This window comes from Homo sapiens, chromosome 4 (genome assembly GCF_000001405.40).
Source record: "Homo sapiens chromosome 4, GRCh38.p14 Primary Assembly".
NCBI lineage: Eukaryota > Metazoa > Chordata > Mammalia > Primates > Hominidae > Homo > Homo sapiens.
Window position 1 is genome coordinate 15468915 of NC_000004.12, and position 25320 is coordinate 15494234.

General features: G+C 41.3%; 1 protein-coding gene across 8 annotated transcripts in view, besides 1 other annotated feature; it reads left to right on the forward strand.

Annotated features, from left to right (window-relative positions):
• The window catches only part of CC2D2A (coiled-coil and C2 domain containing 2A), a 131693-nt gene continuing 107323 nt past the window's right edge, over nucleotides 951-25320 (forward strand). For 2 of the 8 annotated variants that reach the window (XM_047416010.1, XM_011513872.4), the window contains exons 1-4: nucleotides 951-1143; nucleotides 7001-7057; nucleotides 9809-9892; nucleotides 11790-11913. In XM_047416010.1, coding sequence (XP_047271966.1) covers nucleotides 7019-7057; nucleotides 9809-9892; nucleotides 11790-11913 — 247 coding nt within the window. In that variant the 5' untranslated portion in view covers nucleotides 951-1143; nucleotides 7001-7018. Of the gene's footprint in view, nucleotides 1144-4307; nucleotides 4342-7000; nucleotides 7058-9808; nucleotides 9893-10297; nucleotides 10415-11789; nucleotides 11914-12282; nucleotides 13350-25320 lie in introns of those variants that run through there. The other 6 variants (NM_020785.2, XM_011513874.3, NM_001080522.2 and 3 more) reach the window with 6 other exon arrangements.
• Nucleotides 9988-10638: an enhancer, noted in NCBI's record as "OCT4-NANOG-H3K27ac-H3K4me1 hESC enhancer chr4:15480526-15481176 (GRCh37/hg19 assembly coordinates)". NCBI's record gives its function as "activates a minimal SCP1, AML or CMV promoter by ChIP-STARR-seq in primed H9 embryonic stem cells {active_cell/tissue: H9 hESC(primed)}" and the evidence as "EXISTENCE:reporter gene assay evidence [ECO:0000049][PMID:30033119]".

The following is a 25320-nucleotide window of genomic DNA, read 5'->3' on the forward strand; positions in this document are numbered from 1 at the left end:
CCCAGGAAGGAATAGGTGAAGCAGGGTAGGGTGCTGCATAAATTTAGGAGTGGATAGCTTGAATAATCGTGGTGTTCTCTGGGCTATAGTGGTCTGGTATCTGGACCTGGGGTGACTTAGGACAGGAGGAATATTGGCTTAGTGTGTGAGAGTTTGATAATGGAGATGGTTGTGTGGGCTCTGGATTGGTTGGCTTGTATATCAAAGGAGACTTTGCATATTTCAGGGGAATCATTTGCTATCTCTAGAAATTAGCTAACATAGGAGAATCAGTTTCTCCAGGATCAAGGCTCCAAATGCCAGAGCATCAAGAATACAGAAAATAAGAAGATACAGTCAATACACATACACACAAACATACACACACCATACACACAGACACAAATACACACAAACACATGTGCACATACACACTAGTCTATTGGAGTGTGTTTCCTTGGCTCCATTCATTCTATTACTCTTCCAGCTACTTTGCCTCCTACCTCTCCCTCTTTTTTTTTTTCCAACTTTTTTGAGCCATAACATTTATATCCGTTTTCAGGAATTGCAGTGGGATTCAGAGAATAGGCAAAGATTAAACTTGTGCGTTCAACCTTCCACTTTTAACTGGAAAACACTCAAGTGCAACATTTGTTGGTACTCTGCAGCACCTCCACAGAGCTTTTGCTGCTGCCACGTTAGACAGCTTCACCATGTAATGACGACCTTTTAAGATTCTAAATCCCCCCACCTCTGAGCCTGTTCTTCATTGGAAATGCAAGACGACCGGATGACATGAGGGAGGGGCAGCTCTTAAGGCTTGACCTAATTTCCAGTGCTGCTCATGTTGATTTCTCTCCGTCCTTCTACTGCAGGCTGTGCGTCTCTGCTTACCCAGCATGCTTGTACTCCACTACTGGAAGTAGCCTGTCACTTTAAAGGAAAAAAAAAAAAGCTACCGAGTGACCTTCCTTAGGAACGGGTTGCTAAGCTGGTGTTTTTGCTCCAAGACATGGCTGCAGCTTCCCAGGGAGGAGCCCAGGGGCATCTCCAACACTCAGCCTTTCCCTCCGGACCCTTTTAAAAGATTCAACAGCACCGTCTCTCTCCACTTCCATCCTAGAATGCAGAATCTGCAAAGTGCCTTTTGTAAAGTTTCTTAAGGTAAATCAGTCCCTAACCGGACTTTAGGCTGCAACAGTGATTTCCTGTTTTCAGTTACCCGGCTTGAAGTTCAGCCTCTCCAGGATACCGTGAGACTGGATTTAATGAATTGTAAATTTAGGGGCTCTCATCGTTATTTATGTTTTTACTTTCTGAAATGGGAACATAGACCATTACTTGGCAGCTTTGATTTGAGCTGCTATCTGGTATCTGGTTTGCAGGAAATGTAAGTCCAGTTCATCACAAGTCCTGAGTGAAAATGCTCTCTGACCAAAGCTCTGTGAAACATTAGCTGCGTGTTGCATTTATGGGCCTTTTAGTTCAAACTGGCTTAAGGGGAGAAGCACTAATTACTGCAAAATACACTTTTCTTGGTATGAGACAGAGAAAGGGCTACTAACCACAGTGCTAAGAGTTGCTGTGCTTTCCAAAGACTTCAAGAAAATGTACTGGCTACAACTTAAGCTGATTGTTTGTTTCCCTTCATTGCAAAGAGGTGGTATGAAAAGCTAATAAAGTCAAATAAGAAATATGTTTGCTACTGCATTTTCATATAACCTTTTCTGCAAATAAATTCAGCACCAGCATGAAATCTCTCTCTCTCTCTCTCTCTCTCTCTCTCTCTCTCTCTCTATATATATATATATATATATATATATATATATATATATATATATCCTAGAGCTCACTTATAGAGTCATTCATTCAAACATTTATGGAGCATCAACAATGCACCAGGCAATGAATTTAAGTTTAGAGTGTGCAAACATAAATTAGACTAGGTCAGAAGCTCAGAATTTGCTGGGAAAACAGACCTATAAACACATGATAAGAGTACAATGAGCTAAGTGCCATAAGAGATTTATAAAAACACTGAGAGGACAGTGGGATGACATCCAGGGAGGGGCTTCCAGTACTTAGCACATCATGTAAATGCACTGGTCATATATCACGTAACACAGCTCAAATATGGTACTCATGTGTACTCTTCAAGGCCAGTGTACATTATATCGAGCTGATTAAATGATTCTATAAAGCTATTGGTCACTAACCTTATGCTAAGGGAAACTGCAGCTGGAATAACTTGTAGAATAAGATAATGTATTCCAAAACAATGTATGTGGCACCTCCCCAGGTGTCCAAGCTCCAGGAGGGAACAGAAAAATGTTCTCAGGGTGTGAGGAAGAAAATACTCATGGGTAGAAGTGCAGGAGGTTTCAGAAGCACCATAAATGGAAACAGCAAGGCAACTGCCCTGGGCCTGGCTGAAGGGAGGGAGACATGAAACATGAGTTATGGTAGCTGGGGGTTGAAGATTGGAGCTGAAGGTGGGTGGGCTTGAACATCACCTAAGGTCTTTCTCATGACTCCTCTTCTATCCCCCAAGCTCTTTTCCCTCCTCATTCCTTTTTTCCACTTTCCCTCCCCACAATCACTTTTTCTTAGTAACAAAACCTACCAATATTGAGAGCCCAGCCTGTGCTAGGCATTTTACTACACACATTTCATCATTTAGCCCTTATAAATTAATCATCCTTCAAGGTAGGAAGTATGATTGCAATGTTGCAGACAAAAAAAAAAAAAACGTGTCTCAGAGAAGGGAGGGCATTGTTCCAAGATCACACAGCTAATAAATAAAGCTGAAGTTGGAACTCAGGTCCACATATTCCTTGGCAAAGAAATATGTGGACCACTCTTCCTATAAACCCATGTTTTTGCCATCCTGGAGTAGGGCATATATATTGTATGATTTTTTAAGCAACCAATATGGAGTTGAGATGCGTTGTATCTCAACCTCCAGGTATGGCTCTGACCCACTGATGACTCTTAGGAATAGTCCATTTATTCAGATGAAGGTGTCAGTACTTTCCTTGAAAAAATATATCTGGTTTTCTGCACTGAGTAAAATAAATCATTGGCTTAATGTAGCCTAAGCCTTTTCTCACCAGTGCAATGCTTCACAGCTTTCAACTGTAAATATTTCCAGAATAGCCCACTATTCTGGAAAGCACAGAATAATTATTGATGCCATTGCAAAAGCAAGAATAAATGGTGAGATGGAGGGGTAGAGTGGAGTGAGGGAGGACTCAGGAATCACAGAGTCTTGGGATCAAGTTCTGAATGTGACATTTAATAATTATAACTTTGGAAAAATCATGTAAATTGTCAGAGCCTCAGTTTACTCATACGCAAATTGGGGCACATACTACTAAGCCAGACATGTTATTGTGAGGACTAAAGAGAACATGTCTATAGTTAGCACAAAATAAGTGTGCAGTAAATCATAGCTATTTTGATGTTGCCAGTAGGAATATATTAACAAGTACCAGTGCATAAGATGATGGCAAACTGCATATTAAAACCAGGCAGTATTGATTTATCTTTTCTTAGCAACAGTGTTCATATAAAAAATAAATTTCGGTGTCATTTGATTTCCTTAGAAACTCATTTAAAGGAAATGATCAGGAAAGAATGAGGAAAAAAGAAAATCCCATTACATTTTTCATTTTCTACTTCTATTTTTTTCTTCCATATAAAGCATTTATTAACTTATAGAGAACTTTTTTTAGTTACTAAAATGTTTCACAGGTTTTTTTTTTTTTTCAGTTTGCAATGACCAGAGTTGTTCATTAGAGAGCTCTCATGTACTTTTGCATTTCATCTTTATTATCTGCCCCCTCATTCACTCTAGGTTATCTCCTTGCCTCTCTATTTTCTTAGCTGCTTTTACATTTTCCTTCCTCTATTTTTTGTACCCTGTGATGAGGTTTGTAGAGAAGACAATAGAATTTCAGATGCTTTATTTCCCTTTAACATGCTAATTCCCCTGTAGGGTCAGTGAAACCTTGATCTCAGATGAGCTGCTTAAATGACCTGACCAAGTCCCAGTTAAGATTTGGGTTCCAAGGATATTAGAAAGGGCTTATGATTTGTCAGCCATATGCCTGTTGTTTCTCCATGTGTTTTCTCATTTAATCCTCACAGCAGCCTAGAAGAAACAGTGGAGCTTTAAATAGTCCCAGAATGTGGCTATGGAACCACAGCCAATAAGTCAGTGACTTAATCATTCATTCGACAAGTATATATTGAATGTCCATGATGTCCCATAATCCTAGTCTCTGGGGGTAAACAATAAACAAAATAATGTTTCTGCCCTCTTGCAGCTATATTCTAATGGATATGGGCTGACATTAACAAGTAAGTATGTATGTTGAGTGGTAATAAGTACTGTGAAAAAATCATTGTAAGGTAGTTAGGGAATTCCAGGAGGGTGTTGGGAGGAGATCATTGTATTACGAATGGTCAGAGAAGAGCTCTCTGATAATAAAATTTCAGCTGAGACCTGAAGAAAGTGAAACAGCAAGAGCCATGCAGATATCTTGGGAAAAAGGAGAACTAGGTAGCAGGAACCGCAGCTACAAAGGTCCTGAGGCAACAGGATTCAAGTGCAAATCACACAGGGCTTGTAGGCCTTGGAAAAAACTTTGGGTTTTACTCTGTTGACAAAGGGAAATCATTGGAGGATTTTGAGTGAAGCAATGTGATTATGTCACTCAAATTTTCATCAATTTGCACTGGCTTCAATGCAGAGAATATGGTAGCCCAGCAATGTGGCAAGCTGAGAAATTAGGAGTTTCTTGCAGTAGATTTCAAGAGAGAAGATGGTGTTTGACCATGGTGATAACAGTGGAAATGTTTAGAAGTGATTAGATCCTGAAAATAATCTGAAGCCAAAACTGGCAGGATTTCTGATGGATTCATGTGAGACTGAGAAAGGAGTTAAGAACAACTGCAAGGTTTCTGGCCTGAGCAAAATGGATTTCTGTTTACTACAACAGGAAAACTGCAGTACAAGGCAGGCTCAGGAGTAAAAGCAAAGAACTTTATTTGAGGTATGTAAAGCCAAGTGAAGGTGTCCATCAAGCAGATACTTGAGTCTGGAGTTCTGGGGAGATGTCTGGACCCAGGATGTAAATTTGGGAAGTATCAGCATGCAGATGGTATTTAAAACCAAGAGACATAATGAGATGGCCAGAGGAATGAAAACAGGCAGAGCTAAGCCCCACAGCATTCCTATCTTTGGTGGTCTGAGAGATAGGGAGAAACCAGCAAAGGAGTTTGAGAAGGAACAGTCAGTGGGTAAAAGGAAAACCAAGAAAGAACTTGTTCCAGGAGCCAACTGAAGAAAGTATCTCAAAAGAAGGGATGGGTCACTTTCATCACTAAATGTTTCTGACCCTTCCATGCCTGGCTTATTTCACCCACAAGTAAGTGAGAACATGCAAATGACAAACATGGCATGTTCTCACTTATGTGTGGGATCTAAAAATCAAAATAATTGAACTCATGGAGATAGAGAAGAGAAGGATGGTTACCAGAGGCTGGGAAATGTAGTCAGGGGTCGGGGGAGGTTGTTTAATGGATACAAAAAAAAAATAGAAAGAATGAATGAGACCTAGTATTTGATAACACAATGAAAGGACTATAGTTAATAATAATTTAATTGTACATTTAAAAATAACTAAAAGAGTATAAATGGATTGTTTCTAACACAAAGGATAAATGATTGAGGGGATAGACACCCAATTTTCTGTGATGTGATTATTAAGCTTTGCATGCCTGTACCAAAATATCTCATGTACCCCATAAATATATACACCTACTATGTACCCACAAAAATTAAAAACTTAGAAAATGTTTTAAATGCCTCTGACCAAGTCAAGTAAGATGAGGGCCGAGAACTGATCACTGGACATGGCAACGCAGGGGTCACTGGAGATGAATCATTGGCAAAAGCAGTTGCAGAGTATGCTAGACCCCAAAAATAAAAAAACAAACTGGAAAGAGAGGGAATGTTTTGAGGGATTTTTCTATAATTGTTGAAAAATTGAGCAACAGCTAGAAAGAGAAGTAAAGTTAAGAGAGGGCTTTTTTTGGCCGGGCACGGTGGCTCACGCCTGTAATCCCAGCACTTTGTGAGGCCCAGGCAGGCGGATCACAAGGTCAGGAGTTCGAGACCCACTTGACCAACATGGTGAAACCCTGTCTCTACTAAAAACACAAAAATTAGCCGGGCGTGGTGGCATGCGCCTGTAATCCCAGCTACTTAGGAGGCTGATGCAGAAGAATCCCTTGAACCTGGAAGGCGGAGGTTGCAGTGAGCCGAGATCGTGCCACTGTACTCCAGCCTAAGCAACAGAGTGAGACTTCGTCTCAAAAGAAAAAGTGTAGGGGGCAGGGGCCTTTTTTTAAAGGAAGGAAAAAATTACAGCATTTTTTCCACTGGTAGGAATGAGCCAATAGAGCAGGAAGAAAATCCAGATGAAAGTGAAGAATTGTCAGGATCAAGGGCCTGGAGGAGGAGGAATGATGGGGCCTAGTGCACTGTTCAAGGAGGGGCCCCATGGGACATGGGGGTTCATAGTAGCAAGTGGAAGCAGAGGAGGTGGCGGTGGCTCCATGTGGTGGGAGGGGAAGGGGATGTAGAAGCCCTCTCTGGTCTTGTCTTTTTACTTGGTGAAATAAGGGCCAAGGTCAAGGGCAGAGAGTGCAGAGGGGCAGTAGCGGAGATGAGCTGTAAAATGGTCCTTCTGGAGCTGGATTCCAACCAGTGCCATCCAACTCTATGGGCACAGTAAAGGCAGGCTCCCAGGGACAGGGAGACCTGGCATCCTTCCTTTCCTCTGGCACTTATCTCCACCAATCCTGGGGTCTGCCAGGGTTCCTGGTGAGTGGAAAGTCTACCCAGCTCAAACACTTCACTTACCATCATGGCCAGCCTCTTACATATCCATAGTAAGAGAAGCAATATTTCATTGATTTCAAAATGCCTGACTTCTTCATTGTTCTTTGTCAGGGACCCATCCCAGCCAAAATGAATCCCAGGGAAGAAAAAGTAAAAATAATTACAGAGGTAAGTGGCCACTTTGATGTCCTCTAGGGATGTGTTTGTGTGTGCATGCTTATGTTACACGTGTTTGTGAATGAGGAAGTTAGGCCAACCAGCATCTATTGCACATGTTAAAAGAAAAGCTTTACATGAATTAGATTCAACAGAGTCTAATTGTACAAAGAACGATTTGTGAATTGGGCAGCCCTCAGAACCTGAAGAGATTCAGAGAGCTCTGCTCTGCTCTGTGGGCAGACAGCATCTATGGACTGAAGATGGAAGTGGAGTACAGAAACAGCTTGATTAGTTACAGCTCAGTGTTGCCTTATTTAAACACAGTCTGATCAGTAGGCCACCTGTGATTGATTGACACTCAGCTGCTGTGATTGGCTGAGACTCAGCTACCTGCTACAGAAGCATACTTCTAAATTAGGCTTTCATTTAGTTTACTAAGATTGCAGTTTGTTATGTAAGAACTCAAAGTACAGAGGTATCCTCAAGCCACATTTAGTTTAATTTAACACACACCGACTAAATGCACCCTGAGGGTGCTATATCAGAGACGTGGTGGAGAAGGGGAGGTGGATGTTGAAGGAAATGCAGTCCTGCTGACATTCCAAGGTCTTACCTCTACCTGAATGCTCCGAAGCTGTTTTGTCACGGTTCTATGAACTCTGACACACAGCAGCTCAAAGTTACTACCTATTATTGAGCATAGCTCTGCCTGAAGCACGCTGATTTCTAAAGACATTCAGAATGAAGGTAACAATTGTAGACACCTGCTAATACAAGCCTCTGTCTGTGGAGTCCTGCAATTTCTGACTCATTGTATGTAAAAACTCATTAAAGCACTGCCCACACCAGAGAAGGGAGGCTGTCTAATTTGGAGACTGCAGACCATCCAACAAAAGAGAGAGTATTCCTCTCAATCCTTACTTCTCTCTCGCTTCAAGGGCTCACTGGCTTGAGACAACAAAGACAGAAATGGAGATGATATGTGCTGTCCAATGCAGTCCTCCAAAAAGCCTGAGGAAACTCATTATAAAACCATGCAGATTAACTTTAAGCAAGATGGCTGGGCACGGTGGCTCACGCCTGTAATCCCAGCACTTTGGGAGGCCGAGGCAGGTGGATCACCTGAGGTTGGGAGTTCGAGACCAGCCTGACCAACATGGAGAAACCCCATCTCTACTAAAAATACAAAATTAGTCAGGCGTGGTGAGGCATGCCTGTAATCCCAGCTACTTGGGAGGCTGAGGCAGGAGAATCACTTTGACCTGGGTGGCGGAGGTTGCGGTGAGCCGAGATCATGCCACTGCACTCCAGCCTGGGCGACAGAATAAGACTCCATCTCAAAAAAAAAAAAAAAAACTTTAAGCAAGATCAAGTACCAACAAACCCACATAAATTTATATTTGCTTATTCATTCATATAACCAAATATATTTTGTGCCTGTAGTCCCTGGGAATACAGCAGTAAACAAACCTTGTTCCCTCATGGAACTTACGTTCTATCTTATTTGAAGTCCTACTGGATAGTTAGAATAGAGGATGAAAACATCACGGAAAAGCAAAACATTACGTAGGTTTCTCACAAGTCCATTCTAAGTCAGTAAAAACTTAGAATTGAATTAAAAGCCATGCTTGCACACCTCAATATAATTATCTTCTTGTAATCTAAGTTGGCGAATCCCCTGAACTAAGAACACTCCCTATTAGTCAGGCCCAAAGAAGGAGTCCAGAGTGAGGATGCAGCTCAGAGGACAAGTCAGAGATCAGGTCACATACACAAAGGAAAGGCCCAAACCAAGGCTATTCTCTCGTTCGACCTCACTTCCGTCCTCTGTTATTGCGGTTCATGTCTTCCCTAACCCCAGTGGCCAAGGGCAGTCAGGAGTAATTGAGGTCTGGCCCAGAAACCTGCATGATATTTCTTTGAAATTATATATCCTTAAAATTCATACTTTGTGTTCCGAATTTGTTTCAGTATAAAAACAAAAAAATCCTAATTTTAGGAAAAAAAAATCTAGTAAGTTTTGTGTACCCCAGAGAGGTTCTGTTTATCTTGCAACTTTTTGTTCACCCAGGGGCACTTGTGCCCCAGTCTATAAAACTCTAGGACTAAAACATTTTAGAGCTCGTAGACTTTAGAGCTTTCAGCTCTAACATTTTATGACTAAAATATTAGAAAGCGTAAGGTGGAAAGAGGAAACGAAGTTTGCGCTGTTAAAGGATTGTTTTCCTTTTCAAAAAAAAATCTGCCAAAATTTCCTTTAACTTGAAGCATTTGTGATGATGTAACATGTATCATTATTATCCTTTTCCTGCTGGTAAGGCTGGAAAGCAGAAAAACTTAACCGGTGAAATCCCTAATATGATTGTGATGTCTGTCCTAGCAGATTCACTTGTTAGTCGCCTTTCTTAGATTGTAACTTTTAAGAGCAGACAGCATGTGGCTTTCAATTCTGTGTCCCAAGAGCATGGAACATAGTAAATGCTCAATAAATGCTGTATGCATGAATGAGGACCTGGAACAATGGAAGATCCAACATCATCTCGTGTATGATGGTCCAATATGGATACGACTTTTCGAAAACATGTCTATGTTGAGAAGAGTGGATGATGAGAGCCGCACAGATTGTTAACTGTCCCCCAACTCACACTCAGCATTACTGGATAGAAGCCCAGGGTCAAGATGGGAGTTTTAATTTTAATACCTAAAAGTCATACCTCTCTTCCTGTCTTAAGATTCTCTCCCTTTTGCATTTTCACAAAGGAGTTCATTGAAAATGATGAGGATGCAGACATGGGAAGACAGAATAAGAACTCAAAGGTTCGAAGACAGCCAAGAAAGAAACAGGTAAGAAGTGACAAGAAACTGTGTCTGCGTATTGTCATTGATCAACAACCCGCCTGCATCCCCAGGGCCATACAGAATCCACAAGGGCAGCCTTCCTTCTTTTGGTACCAACTTTTGGCCTGCTCTGGGGGGCTGTGAGGCGGGGATGCAGATGGGTGGTCCAGGGTGCAGGAGCCTGATTCAGAGACTTATAGATGAGCCTCACAATAAGGCGGGGGTCCATACTTAGAGCATTTTTACTCTAAGTTTTCTCCCATCTCCTGAGAGAGGACTCTAGAAAAGATGGAAGGAGCCTGTTTTAGTGCTTCATTGAAGGCCATGGACTATGATGGGCAGTAGATGGCAGTACACGATTACAAATCTTGGGAAACTCCCTCTTTTTCCAACTCCAAGCCCAAATTCTGTCTTTGAGGCAGAAGCCAACTCCTTTCTCCCGAGCCTGCTGGCAGATCCTCCCCCACCTCTCCGCAGGAGTTCCCCTCCTAGGCTGGGAGCATCCCGTGCAGGGTAAATCTTTTCAAGGTAAGTCCTTGGTAAGAAGTTGTCCTCTGAGAAGGGAGGCAGGGAAGCAGCTATTGTGGATGGGAGCTCTGCTTGGAACAATCAAGATGCCAGCAGGGGAGGGAGGGGAGAGAAGCGCCATTTTGAGCCAGCAGTCACGTGAAGGGGCTGCAGAGAGGGGTGGCCAGGAGAGATGAAGAGGTCATAGGGAGACAGAAGAGACCTCCCTCCTAGCTCCCCCCTTGCTCAGCACACTCCTCGGGGCAATCTGGGCAGAGGAGTCACTTTCAGCCTTTCAAGGGAGGGTCCAGGTGGTTGGGGAGGTACTGCCTGGCCACGTGGGCTAGCTCTCTGGCCACTCCTGGGGACTGAGGAGACCCACAGCCAGACACAGCTCCGAAGCTTTAACCCCTTCCTGTGGGGTCAGTCTGCAGCCGTGCAGCCCAAGGCCAGGGGCTGTGGAGGCAGTAGATGAAAAGGGTTCAAGCCTTTAGCTCCACAGTCACAGGCACAGTGAGCAAGTGGGTGACTAGTGCCAAGGCTGCCACGGAGCTTAGACTGAAGAGGAGAAAGGGGCAAGGATGGAGAAGGGAATATAACAGCTCTCAAATGCTGAGCAATTTATGGGCCAGGCTTGGAACTTTATAGGTTGGGAGCATTGCAAGAAACGTAGTTGCACTCCAGAATCAGAATCACATGGGGACTTTTTGTTTAAATAAGTTCCATCCCGGGCCATCTATTTACGTCAGAATCTCTGTGCTTTCTACAGTGACTCAAACATTGTAGCATCTCAAAAAATGGGCTCTTTTTATTATTTTTCTTTTACAGATAAGAAAGCAGTGTACAAGGAAGTTAACTAACTTGCCCAAAGTCCCACAGTCAGTCTGAGTTTGGAGGCAAGCTTTAGTCTATCTGTCCTCAAAGGTGTTATTGCAAATTCTGCTTCCTTGTTTTCCTTCACTGAGAGTGTGGGGAAGGAACCAGAGGCTATTCTTGGGGGGTGTCCAAAGGGTGGACTAAATATTTGCCCCTGAATTACCCAGTAACACTTTAGCTGCTGTTTGCAAACTATTTGAAGTTGGGAACAAACTGATTTTCCTGTTTCTCTTTCCTCCAAATTCCTGCAGAGCTCTACATATTTTACCTAGAAAAAGTGAAAATAATAACGTTATTTGGGGACGCCTTGATAATTTCACAAAAGCATTTCTAGAGAAATTCTGGGTTGGCACCTCTTCCCTGGTGGGTACTCACAGTGAGTCAGGTGACAGAGACTGTGGTTATCCAGATGTGAATAGTACTAAGGCCTGTCCCCTCACTGGTGACCCATCTTCCCAAGAGAGGAACAGACTCAAATAAAGTCCTGGGAGTCTCTGAACCTCTGACCTTCTTCCTCCAGCCACCAACTGCTGTCCCCAAGGAAATGGTGTCCGAAAAATCCCACCTTGGCAACCCCCAGGAGCCTGTGCAGGAGGAGCCCAAGACCCGCCTCCTGAGTATGACAGTCCGGAGAGGCCCACGGAGTAAGTGCCCCTCTTCCATTCAGCTACTGCTTGTTAACTGCCTACTGTGAGCTCAGCACAGAGCAGTATAGGGATTTTTTATGGGTGTTATTTTTCATGCATTGCCACTGCTGCTCCACCCACTTTACCCCAACTTGGTGAGTGACTCTAGGTTAATCCCTGCCAAGGAGACAGAACACATAGCTTCAGGATGTGTTTCTATAACCACATAATATTATTTGGATGTTTGTCCCCTCCAAATCTGAAATGTGACCTTCAATGTTAGAGGTGGAGCCTAGTGGGAGGTGTCTGGGTCATGAGGGCACAACTCATGAATTGGTTGGTGTTGTCCTCTAGTAATGAGTGAGTTCTTGCTCTGTTCACTCACAGGAGAGCTGGTTGTTAAAAAGAGCCTGGGCAGGCCAGGCACGGTGACTCACGTCTGTAATCCCAGCACTTTGGAAGGCCGAGGCGGGTAAATCACCTGAGGTTGGGAGTTCAAGACCAGCCTGACCAACATGGAGAAACCCCATCTCTACTAAAAATACAAAAAAATTAGCCAGGCGTGGTGGCGCATGCCTGTAATCCCAGCTACTTGGGAGGCTGAGGCATGAGAATTGCTTGAACCTGGGAGGTGGAGGTTGCAGTGAGCCGAGATCGGAGCACTGCACTCCAGCCTAGGCAACAGAGCAAGACTCCATCTCAGAAAACAAACAAACAAAAAAGAGCCTGGAACCTCCTCCCCTCTCTCTTGCTCCCTCTCTCACCATGCGACACACCTGTTTCCCCTTCCCCTTCTGACATAAGTGAAAGCTTCCTAAGGCCTCACCAGAGGCAGATGCTGGCACCATGCTTATTGCACAGTCTGCAGAACAGTGAGCCAAAATAAACCTCTTTTCTTTATAAATTACCCAGTCTCAGATATTCCTTTATAGCAATGCAAAATGGACTAACAATACATAAGTTAGGGAGTGTTAATTAGAATGGAAATTAAATATGCAGAAACTCAAAGGAAGATGAAATTGTTAGGGAAGACATATGTGTTAACCTAGTGAGGCTTGAATCAGATGTTTGGAAGAAATGAGGGAGGTTTCTGAGGCTCCTGGTGACCTTGCCATTGAGGACACATATACTTCTCCCCCTACACACGCCTTTTCTTCTTCCCCAGTACAATGAACATTAGGAATTACCTGCTCATTGTAGGGAAAATGACCACCCTTCAGGCATTGCTTTTCATGAAAAGTGGATTAGACAAGAGGAGAAGTGGTTACACTTTTTAATTGTTACATAATTGTTAGACTGTTTTCCCTATGGCAAAGTTGGGAAATAAGTAACTGTTGGAAACTAGAGGCCTTTGGAAGCAAGTAGACTCTTAGATTGGAAAAATGTGGTTCTAATCTAAAAGCAATGATACAATGAGAGCTGTTATGAATTAATAAAAACAGAACCAAAATTTATCTCATATGGCTGTTTCTTTTTCTAAATGCTCAAAATTATTTATTACTACCAAAGATTACAACTTGTCATTTCAGGCTGCCATAACAAAATACTATAGACTGGGGGGCTTAAACACCCAACATTTATTTTCTCATGGCTCTGAAGGCTGGACATCTGAGATCATGGTGCCAGCATGGCCGGTTTCCAGTGAGGCCCTTCTTCCTGGCTAGTTGGTGGCCACCATCTTGCTGTGTGCTCACATGACCTCTTCTCTGTGCCTGCACTGGGGGAGGGAGAGGCTCTACTGTCTCCTCTTATAAGGACACTAATCCTAATCCTATCAGGGCCCCTCCCTTATGATCGCATTTGACCTTAATTACCTCCTACAGGTTCTATCTCTAAATGCAGTCAGATTGGGGGAGAAGGCTTCAACATACAGATTTTCAGAGGGGGGACACAATTCAGTCCTTAGCACAACTACTGGATATTTAATTATTTATTTTAAAATCAAGGGAAAGACTGCCAGGAGAGGTGGCCACCAGTCAAGGCTCTGTGACATAAAAAGTGGATTATTTTCTAACTCGAAAATGAAGAAGATACTGTCCACTGTCACCATGGAGATGATCTATGCATTAGTCCCTTCCCCCACAAAAAGCGCTATTTCTGAATTGGGGAATGGAGAGGTATGGAATGAACAGAAGGCTGAGACCTGCCTACTGGAGCCACACCATGACCATCCAGTGTCTGGGAAGCCCTGGGTGGAGCTGGAAGCTGCTGATGAATTGGCAGCACTGATAAACCAAGACGAAGAGAAAACATCCCCAGCAGTGAGGGGTGGAGCATATGGTGGATAAGGAGTCTGTGGAGCCAGGCATCTGTCAGAAATGAGAAGTCAAAGCCAGCAGACAAAGTCAAGAGAGCAGAGGAAGTATTATTATACCAGTGGCATTAGAGCAGGAGACAGACAAGTAAAAAGGAATGATGAGTGCTGGCAGAAACAACAGAGTGCTGGACTGCCCTAGGCAGGCAAGGATAGCAAGGGAGGTGACAGAAGAATGGAGCCTCCACATATGGAGGAGTCTGCATGGGGAACTGTAGGGTGAGGAGGATTCCCAATTCAGGTCTTGGAAACACACAGATGTATGTGTAGAAAACACGGAGAGGGTCAAGAGCAAGATAGAAGCAGCCATGTGCTTTATGACCCAGTCATAGAAATCACCTATCAGTCCTTTCGACATATTTGTTAGAAGCATGTCCCTAAATCCAGCCCACATTTAAGGGAAGGAAAATCAGCCTCCTTCTTTTGAAAGAAGGAGTGTCAAAGAATGTATGGACATTTTTACTACCACATTAATTTTTCTTTAAAACTCCTCTTTATCTCACTTTTCTACTCAGAAATCTATTATATTACATTACATAAAATCCACACTCTCTTATTTATTCCGGGCTCTAAGGATCTATGCAATTGGGCTCCTTCCGGTTGTATTTTCCAGTGTTTTCCAGTGTGCTCCACTTTGGTTGACTCCTTACTGGCCTCTGAATGCCTCGTGACCATCTCAGCATTTCTGGGCTTTGGTTCCCACTTTAAGAGAGTTCTCTGATTGTGTCTTTATTAAGCTTGTGATTGAAACACAATTGAGCTGTTGCAGTTAAGACCATGGGCGTTGGCTTAGACAAGAGTGGGTACCAGTCTCTACCTATCTTACTCCCTTGGGCAAGTTCTCCGACCTACCTAAACTTTAGTTTCCTTATTTGTAAAACAGGGACAATAATAGATTGCGTGAACACTGCCACAGAGTTTATACTCCAGTTGTGGGAGGGATGAGAGGAAAAAAGAGAAAAACAAATGAAGTAAACTAGATAAACATAGAGTACAGCAGGTGTGAGAAGTCCTGAAGAGAAAGATAAAGAATAAGCTGGCAGGACTGCAGTGGGAGTGAGAGGATGAGGTGCATTTATGAAAGGAAATGAGTGATCCCCAAGGGGAGAATGTTCCAGGCAGTGGTCTTAAGGCAGGAATGTGCTTGCGACATTAAGCAACAGCCAGGGGGCAAGGGCAGTGGAGAGTGAACAACAAGGAAAAGGAAAAAAATAAAATCAGAAGGGAGGAGGGGAATTGTACCCAGCCTAGTGGGCCCTTTGACTTTTAATCCGAATGAGATGAGCGTCATTGGAGGGTTCAAGCCCAGGACTGATATAATCAGATTTAAGGCTGACGGCTGCTGTGCTGAGTAGACTTTGGAAGGAGTGAGGGCAGAAGCACAGAGACCAGGTAGAGGCCAACAGCAAAAATCCAGGTGGGAGTTATTGGGGAATGGGACTGGCGGGTAGTGGAAGGGGTGGAAAGAGTGTGGGAAATCTGGGTATTTGGAAGGTAGAGACGAACAGGTATATTTCTCGATTGAACAAGAATTATGAAAGCAGGAAGGTTGCCTCCATGGTTTTTGACTTGAGTCAAAAATGGGTAACTCCACTTTCCCCAATAGAGTTTCAGAGAAGGAAAAGATGGCAGAAAGGGCAGGTTTGAAGGTAGAAATTGAATGGACATGCAAAGTTGAGATGCCTGCTGAATATCCAAGTGGACATGGATGTATGGATACAGGGATCTGGTGGTTGGGGAGAGGTGGAGAGTGGACAGGGATTCCTTGATCTTTTATCTAGAATGTCCCTTTCCCACCTCTGCCCTCTTTCCTCTCAGCTGGTTCTACTTTCCTTCAGAGCACTCATCACCTCCCGGCATTTTCCAATCAGCTGACTATCTTGATCATTAGAAGGAAAGCTCCCTGAGATCAAGACTTTGTCTGCTGTATTCATTGCTTATTCCCCAATGCAATATTTGGAGCTTGATAAACATATATTGAAAAACTGCCATGGGCATAACAACAAATGCTCAAGACAGGGTCCTGCCTCTGGTAACCATCATTCTACTCACTATCTCTATCAGATCAATTGTTTTAGCTCCCACATATGAGTGAAAACATGTACTAGTTGTCTTTCTGTGCCTGGCTTTCTTCACTAACATAATGTCCTCCAGTTCCATCCATGTTGTTGCAAACTGCAAAATTTCATTCTTTTTTATGGCTGAATAATATTCCATTGTGTATATGCAGCATGCTTTCTTTATCCATTTATCCATTGATGGATACTTAGGTTAATTCCGTATCTTAGCTGTTGTGAATAGTGCTGCAGTAAAAATAGGAGTTCAGATATCTCTTTGATATACTGCTTTCCTTTCTTTTGGATATATACCCAGCAGTGGCATTTCTGGATCATAGGGTAGTTCTATTTTTAGTTTTTTGAGAAACTTCATATTGTTTTCCATAACAGCTGTACAAATTTACATTCTCACTAACAGTATACAAGCATTCCCTTTTCTCTGCATTCTTGCCAGCATCTGTTTTGTCTTTTTGATGAAAGCCATTTTAACTGGAGTAAGATATCTCATTGTGGTTTAATTTGCATATCCCTCATGATTAGTGAATTTGAGCATTTTTGCGTATACCTGTTGGCCATTTGTATGTCTTCTTTTGAGAAATGTCTATCAATGTTTTTTGCCTATTTTTAATGAGATTATTTATGTTTTATCTGTTGAGATATTTGAGTTCCTAGTATATTCTGGATATCAGTCCCCTTTCAGAGGAGTAATTTGCAAATATTTTTTCACATCTACTGAACTGATCATGTCCTTTTTCCTTCATTCTGTTGATATGATGTATTACTTTATTGATTTTATATATTGAACTATCCTTGCATCCCTGAGATGAATCCCACTTGATCATGAAGAATGATGTTGTTAATTTATTATTGAATACAGTTGGCTAGTATTTTGTTGATGATTTTTGCATCAGTGTGCATCAGAGATACTGGCTTGTAAAGTTTTTTGTTGTTATGTCTTTGTCTGGTTTTGGTATCAGGATAATACTGCCCTTGTACCATAGGTTTGGAAGTATTCCCTCCTCTGATTTTTGGAATAGTTTGAGTAGGATTAATAATAGTTCTTTAAATGTTTTGTTGAATTCAGCAGGGTAGCCATCAGGTCCTGGGCTTTTCTTTGAAGAGAAACACTTTTTATTACTGCTTCTATCTCATTACTTGTTTTTTGTCTATTCAGATTTTATATTTCTTCATGTTTCAATCTTGGTAGGTTGTATATGTCTAGAAATTTATCCATTTCTTCTAGCTTTCTAGAAGAAATGTATTGGCATATAGTTGCTCATAATAGTCTCTAATAATCCTTTGATTTTCTGTGGTATCAGTTGTTATGTCTCCATTTTTGTCTCTGATTTTATTTCTGTGGGTCTTCTCTTTTTCTTAATCTGGCTAAAGTTTTGTCAATTTTGTTTATCTTTTCAAAAAACAACTTTTCATTTCATTGATCTTTTCTACTTTTTATTAAGTATCACTTTCATTTATTTCTGCTCTGATCTTTATTATTTTTCTTCTACTAATTTCGAGTTTTGATGTGCTTTTGATTTTCTGTTTCTTTAAGATGCATTGTGAGGTTATTTAAAATCTTTCTACATTTTTGACGTAGGTATTTATTGCTATAAAATTCCCTTCCGGTAATGCTTTTGCTATACCCTATAGGTTTTCATATGTTGTGTTTCCATTTTCATTTGTTCCAGTCAATTTTTTATTTTTTTAATTCATCATTGACCCAATTGTTGTTCTGGAGTGTATTGTTTAATTTTTATGAATTTGTAGAGTTTTCAGAGTTTCTCTTGTTATTGATTTCTAGTTTTATTTTATTGTGGTTAGAGAAGATACCTGATATGATTTCAACTTTTTTGAATTTTTTGAGACTTGTTTTGTGGCCTGAGATATAGTCTATCCTTGAGCATGTTCCATGTGCTGAAGAGAAAAATGTGTATTCTGCAGCTGTTGGATGAAATGTTCTTTAAATCTGTTAGTTTCATTTGTTTTATTTGCAGATTAAGTCCAATATTAGTTTGTTGATTTTCTCTCTAAATGATCTATCCAATGCTGAACGGGAGTATTAAGATCCTCAACTATTATTAATGGGAGACTTGTATTGGGATTTAGCTCTAATAATATTTGCTTTATATATCTGGGTGTCCCAGTATTGGGTGCCTATGTATTTACAAGTATTATATCCTCTTGATGAATTGACCCCTTTATCATTGTATAATGACCTTCTTTGTCTCTTTTTACAATTTTTGTCTTGAAATCTATTTTATCTGATACATATACAGCTACTCCTGCTCTTTTTACATTTCCATTGCATAGAATAACTTTTTCTACCCCTTTATTTTCAGTCTATGTGCATCTTTACAGGTGAAATGAGTTTCTTATAGGTAGCATATAATTGGCTCTTTTTTTCAATCTTTTTCATCCGTTCAGCCAATCTATGTCTTTTGATGGGAGAATTTAGTCCATTTATATTCAACGTCATTATTCACAGGGAGGGACTTACTACTGCCATTTTCTTATTTGTTTTCTGGTTGTTTTGTTAGTCCTCTCTTCCTTTCTGCCTTCTTCCTGTCTTTCTTAGTGTATAAGTGATTTTCTCCAGTAGTATGTTAAAAAAATTTTTTTTTTTGTACCTGTCATAGGTTTTTGCTCTGTGATTACCATGAAGCTTGCAAATAACATCTTATAACCAGTTATTTTAAGCTGATGACAACTTAAATCTGATCACAATGAAAAGAAAATAAAAAGCAAAAACTGAAAAATTCTATATTTTAACCCCGTCTCCCCCCTGCTTTTTTATTTTTTGTTGTCTCTACTTATATCTTTTTGTACTGTCTATCTCTTGACAAATTGTTGTAGTTATTATTTTTGATAGGTTTTTCTTTTAGTCTTCAGGGCTAAAGATATGAGTGATTTAAACACCGCAATTACAGTGTTAGGGTATTCTGTATTTGTCTGTGTACTTATGTTCACTGGTGATTTTTATACCTTCAGATTTCTTATTGCTCATTAGCATTCTTCTCTTTTAGATTGAAGAACTCCCTTTAGCATTTCTTGTAAGATAGATCTGGTGATGATGAAATCCCTTGGCTTTTGCTTGCCTTGAAAAGTCTTTATTTCTCCTTCATGTTTAAAGGATAACTTTGCTGGATATAATACTCTAAGTTGGAAGTTTTGTTTGTTTCTTTGTTTTCTTCAGCACTTTGAATATATCATCCCATTCCTTCATGACCTATAAGGTTTCCACTGAGAAGTCTGCTGCCAGATGAATCAGAGCTACTTTATATGTTATTTGTTTCTTTTCTTTTGCTGCTTTTAGGATCCTCTCTTTGTCCTTGACTTTTGAGAGTGATTTTTATAGACCTTGCAGTAGTCTTAGGGGATTTGAATGTTTTGGTGTTCTTTGACATTCTTGTACCTGCTCAAATATCTGGATCCACGTTTGATTACTCCTTTGACCTTTTACTTCCCAAACTTCTCATGAGTCTAGGCTGCCCCTCAGTGATACCAGCCCAGCTCCTCACCTTGAACCTGTGACCCTCTGTCCTACAAGGCTCCAAGTATTGTCAAGGTCAGGCTGCATTTAGAGATGCAGAGATCAGCACCCCTAACCTATGGCCTCACACACTGCTTCGGGCACATGCCCGGAGGTGCCACCTCCCTAATGAACCGCACCAGAAACCCATGCAGTGAAAGCTTGCCTTCTAATCTGCTCTTCAAACATATATATAGTCATGACATCCCAAATAAAGAAAGCATCTCCCTGAACATGGAATAGTTCCAAATAAAATAAACATCTAGTTTAAAAGTACACACACTCCCCCATGATTCCATCTTGCACCATCTCTTGAGGGAGTAACTATCACACATTAAGTAGTTTCTTATGAACACAAATTTCTTCATTACTAACATCTGTTTTCCATTCATTCATGTTAGTTTCTCTGATTAAACCAACATTTCAGAGCCAATTTGTCAGTATTGGTGGAAAAGAAAGTTCAGAATCGAGTGAAATATGATGCAAATGAAAGGAAATAAAGTGTTTATTTTAGGCATACTTTTTAAAAGTCATGAGGACCTGGAGAGACTGGCCTGGGGTGGGAGGGGAATGTTATAAAGCACAGCATGAGACATAGAGGGGAGCTGCCTGAAGGAGCCGGGCCTTGGGGGTTACCTTAGTGCCCACCAGCTGGAGAATGGGATGAACATTCTAGTCCAAGGATGCACAGTGGAGAATGTAGGAAATGTCAAGACATTCACCAACGCTGCAGTTCACTACCTCACACAGTACTGGGAAGACTAAATTAAAGTACTAATACGTATGAATAAATATTACCTATTATTAGTTATGAGGAAAGCCAAGGCCGCAATTAATCTGTACTCAAAGCCCCAATTCCCTACCCTCCTTTAAAGCGAACAAACAAAAAAATAAAACTTCTTTACAGCAAAATTCTTTCAAACTCATTTTCTCTCATTTTTGTCTCCAGTCCTCTCTTGAAATCACTCCAATGTAACTCACACTCCCACCCATTTATTGAAAATGTCCTTGCCAAGGTGACCAATGACTCACACATTTGCTAAATTCAATAGTCAGTTCTTAGTCTTTATCTTACTTGACTTTCACAGCATTTGATGGCACTCATCATTCTCTCCTACTTTTGTACTTGGCTTCCAGGACTCCACTTGCCTGGTTTTCCTTCTGCCTCACTGGCTGTACCTCTTTCTCCTTTGCTTGTTCTTATTCACATCCCGACTACTCCATGTTGGAGCACCCTAGGCTTAGTGCTTGGCTCTCTTGTCTTTATCAATACTCAATTACTGTTGTCATCTCAAGACTTTAAATTCAATCTATATACTGACCAGTTCCAAATTTTTATCTCCAGCGTGGACTTCTTCCAGACTAAATATGCAACCGCGTACTCAACATCCACTTTTGCACATCTAATAAGACAACTCATATTTTTAGTAGGCATATTGAAATATAACTTACATATCATAAAATTCACCCATTGTTAGTGTACAATTTAAGGAATTTTTGGTAGATATATAAACATGCAATATCAAACTACAATCCAGTTTTAGAACATTTTTATCACCACAAAAAGTTCCTTTGTGCCTATTTGCCTCCACTCCTAGCCCTAGCTCCAGACAAACACTGATCTGTTTTCTATCCCTGTAAGTGTGTCTTTTCTGAACATTGCATGTAAATGGAATCATACAATATGTAGTGATTTGCACCTGACCTCTTTCACTTAGCATAATGATTTTTGAGATTCGTAAGTATTGTAGCATGTATCCACATTTCAATTTCATTTCTTTTGTTGATGAATTATATTTCATCATATGGACACACTATACTTTGTTTATTTATTCACCTGTTGACGGACATGTGGATTATATTCAGTTTGGTGCTATTATCCACAGTGTTGCTGTGAACACTTGCAAAATGTCTTTGTGTAAACTTATGTTTTCATTTCTTTTTGAAGGATTCCTAGTGGTAGTAAGGGAGAAGACTACCCCTCATATTGTCTTATGCCCAATTTCCGCCTCTAAGGAAAGAAAAAGTAAAAACTAAAAGGCAGAAATGAAAACCACAAGCAGACAGCCTGGCGCCACACCCTGGGCCTGGTAGTTAAAGATCGACCCCTGACCTAATTGGTTATTTTCATAAGAAAAGCACTGTGAAAATCCATGTCCTGTTCTGTTCTGTTCTAATTACTGGTGCATGCAGCCCCCAGTCACGTACCCCTGCTTGCTCAATCGATCACGACCCCCTCACACGGACCGCCTTAGAGTTGTGAGCCCTTAAAAGGGATAGGAATTGCTCACTCGGGGAGCTCAGTTGTTGGAGATGTGAGTCTTGCCGAAGCTCCCGGCCGAATAAAGCCCTTCCTTCTTTAGCTTGGTGTCTAAGGGGTTTTGTCTGCGGCTTGTCCTGCTACAATAGAATCTCTGAGTCATATGATAAACTTACTCGTAACTTTTTAAGAAACTGCCGATATACTTTTCAAAGTGGCTGCATCATTTTACTTTTCTGACAACAACGTATGAAAGTTCCAGTTTCTCCACATCTTTTCCAATACTTGGTATTATCTGTCTTTAATTATACCCTTTACAGTCGATGTATAGTGGTGTCTTATGCTTTTAACTTGCACTTCCCTCATGATTAATGATTTATTTTTTCATATTCTTACTAGCCATTTGTATATCTTCTTAGTAAAATGACTATTTACTTTTCGTTTGCTTGTTTGAGACATGAGTCTCACTCTGTCACCCAGGCTGGAGTGCAGTGGTGCAATCTTGGCTCACTGCAACCTCCACCTCCTGGGCTCATGTGATTCACTTGCCTCAGCCTCCTGAGTAACTGGGATTACAGGTGCTCACCACCACATCCAGCTAATGTTTGTATTTTTAGTAGAGACAGGGTTTCACCATGTCAGCCAGGCTGATCTTGAACTCCTGACCTCAAGTGACCCAACCACCTTGGCCTCCCAAAGTGCTGGGATTGCAGGCATGAGCCACCGCACCCAGCTATTTACATTTTCTACTCATTTATTAATTGAGTTGTCTTACTATAGAGTTGTAAAAATTCTTTATGTATTTTAGATACAAGTACTTTATCAGATACATAATTTGAAAATATTTTCTCCAAGTCAGTGGCTTGTCTTTTCATTTTCTTAATGGTGTCTTTGAAGTACAAAAGTTTTAAATTTTGATAAACTCAAATTTATTATATTTTTATTATGGATTGTGCTTTTAGGGTTGTATCTAAAAATTAATTGCCCAACTCAAGGTTATGGAAATTTTCTCCCATGTTTTCTTCTAGAAATTTTATAGTTTTAGCTCTTACGTTTCTCTAGATCTATTATGTATTTTCAGACAACTCAAATTTTACTTAACTGAAACTGACCTTCTGATCTGTTTCTATCAAACCAAACCTGTTTCTCCTAGAGTCATCCCCACCCCATTAAATGGACTTTACATTTTTTTCTATTGCTTGGGTCAAAAACTTGGAGTCATCCATAACACCTGTCTTTCTGTCTGCCCACATCCTATCTACCATCAAATCCTGTGTGCTCTACCTTCAGAATAGATCTAATGATTACTTCTCACTCTCTCTACTCTTACCACCCTGATCTAAGCCACTTTCACCTCTCATCTAGAATATTGCAGTAGCCTCCTAACTGATCTTCTTGCTTCCATTCTCACCCCTCATTTTCAACCCAACAGCCAGAGTGGTCCTATGAAAATATAGTTACATCACTTCTCTGTTTAAACCTTCCAATGGCTCTCACTCAACTCAGAGTTAATGCCAAATTCTTTTTTTTGTTTGTTTGTTTGGTTTTTTTTTTTGAGCACAGGGGACTTTATTGATTGTACATGACAAAGTGGGGCTCCCTAGGCTCCTCCCTCTTCAGGGGGTCTGCATGGAAATTGTGAGGAGGGGAGATTCTCAGTGAGGTGGGGGACTAAGGGCGGCAGGGACTCCTCAGCAGCTGAGGGTCTCTCTCTTCCTTTCGTGCTCTCACTGGGTCTGGTGGTCCAGGGGTCTTACTCCTTGGAGGCCATGTGGGCCATGAGGTCCACCACTCTATTGCTATAGCCAAATTCATTGTCATACCAGGAAATGAGCTTGATAAAGTGGTCACTGAGGGCAATGCCAGCCCCAGCATCGAAGGTGGAAGAGTGGGTGTCACTGTTAAAGTCGGAGAAGACAGCCTGGGTGCTCAGTGTAGCCCAGAATGCCCTTGAGGGGGCCCTCTGATGCCTGCTTCACCACCTTTTTGATGTCATCATATTTGTTAATGCTTAATTATTTAGGATGACCTATGTGGTTGCATTTCCCCTTACTTCTATGACCTAATATCCTAGTATTCCATTCCCTCAATTTTTGGGTTCCCCATTTCTGCTCTGGCCTCTCATCAGGCTTAGCCCTATCTCAGTGTCTTTGCATCAGATAGTACCCTACCTGTACCTGAAATTATCATCCCCTAGGTGTCTACATGGTTTGATCCCCCACTTTCTTCACCTGTTCTTAAGTCACCTGGAGGCCCTTACCTGGCCACTTTATTTATTATTTATTTATTTATTTATTTATTTACTTACTTACTTACTGAGACAAGGTCTGGCTCTGTTGCTCAGGCTGGAGTGCAGTGGTGCAATCTCGGCTCACTGCAACCTCTGCCTCCTGGGCACAGCCATCCTCCCACCTCACCTAGCTAATTTTGAGACTACAGGTAGCTGGGACTACAGGTGTACACCATCATACCTAGCTAATTTTTGTAGAGGCAGCATTTTACCATGTTGCCCAGGCTGGTCTTAAACTCCTGAGCTCAAGCAATCTGCCTGCTTCAGCCTCCCAAAGTGCTGAGATTACAGGCTTGAGTCACTGCATCTGGCCTAGTCTATTTAAAACTGCAATTCACCCCTCCCTCCTGGCCCTCCTTATCCCCTGATCCTGTGTTATTTGTCTCTACACTTGTATCACCATCTGACATACTAACTACAGAACTTATTTGTGGTCTATCTCCCCCACTGGCATACATTCTCTATGGGGGTGGAGGCATTCATTTGTTTTGTTTACTGCCCTATCCCTAGTACCTTGAACACATAACAGATGCTCAAAGAATATTTGTTGGTTGAATGATTGAAGGGTCAAGACAAGATTCTGTAATCCAGCATTGCCAAAACTGGAGTTTGTAGAATACTAGTATCCTCTTAGAAATGAACTGCCCCCAAAAAAGAATTCAAGTTGAGAAACTTTTCATATCATTTCTACTCTTGGAAATTCATGAAGCTCGTTCTGAGACTACACACACTTAACCTAGCATTTCTCATGCAGTTCTTGGCCCTCCTGAATACCTGTTAATATTTTTTTCCACTCTGTAGAAGACAATGGGGAAGACTCAATCCTAAGTAGAAACTCCATGTCAAAATATATCTGTGATATTCCTGACAACTCTCAGAGTCTCTGAAAGTCCTGTTTGGAGCCTCATGCCCTGTGCACCACCACAACAGCATGAGAGCACCGAGTCTTGTCCAGGCTGATGATCCCCAAGCCTG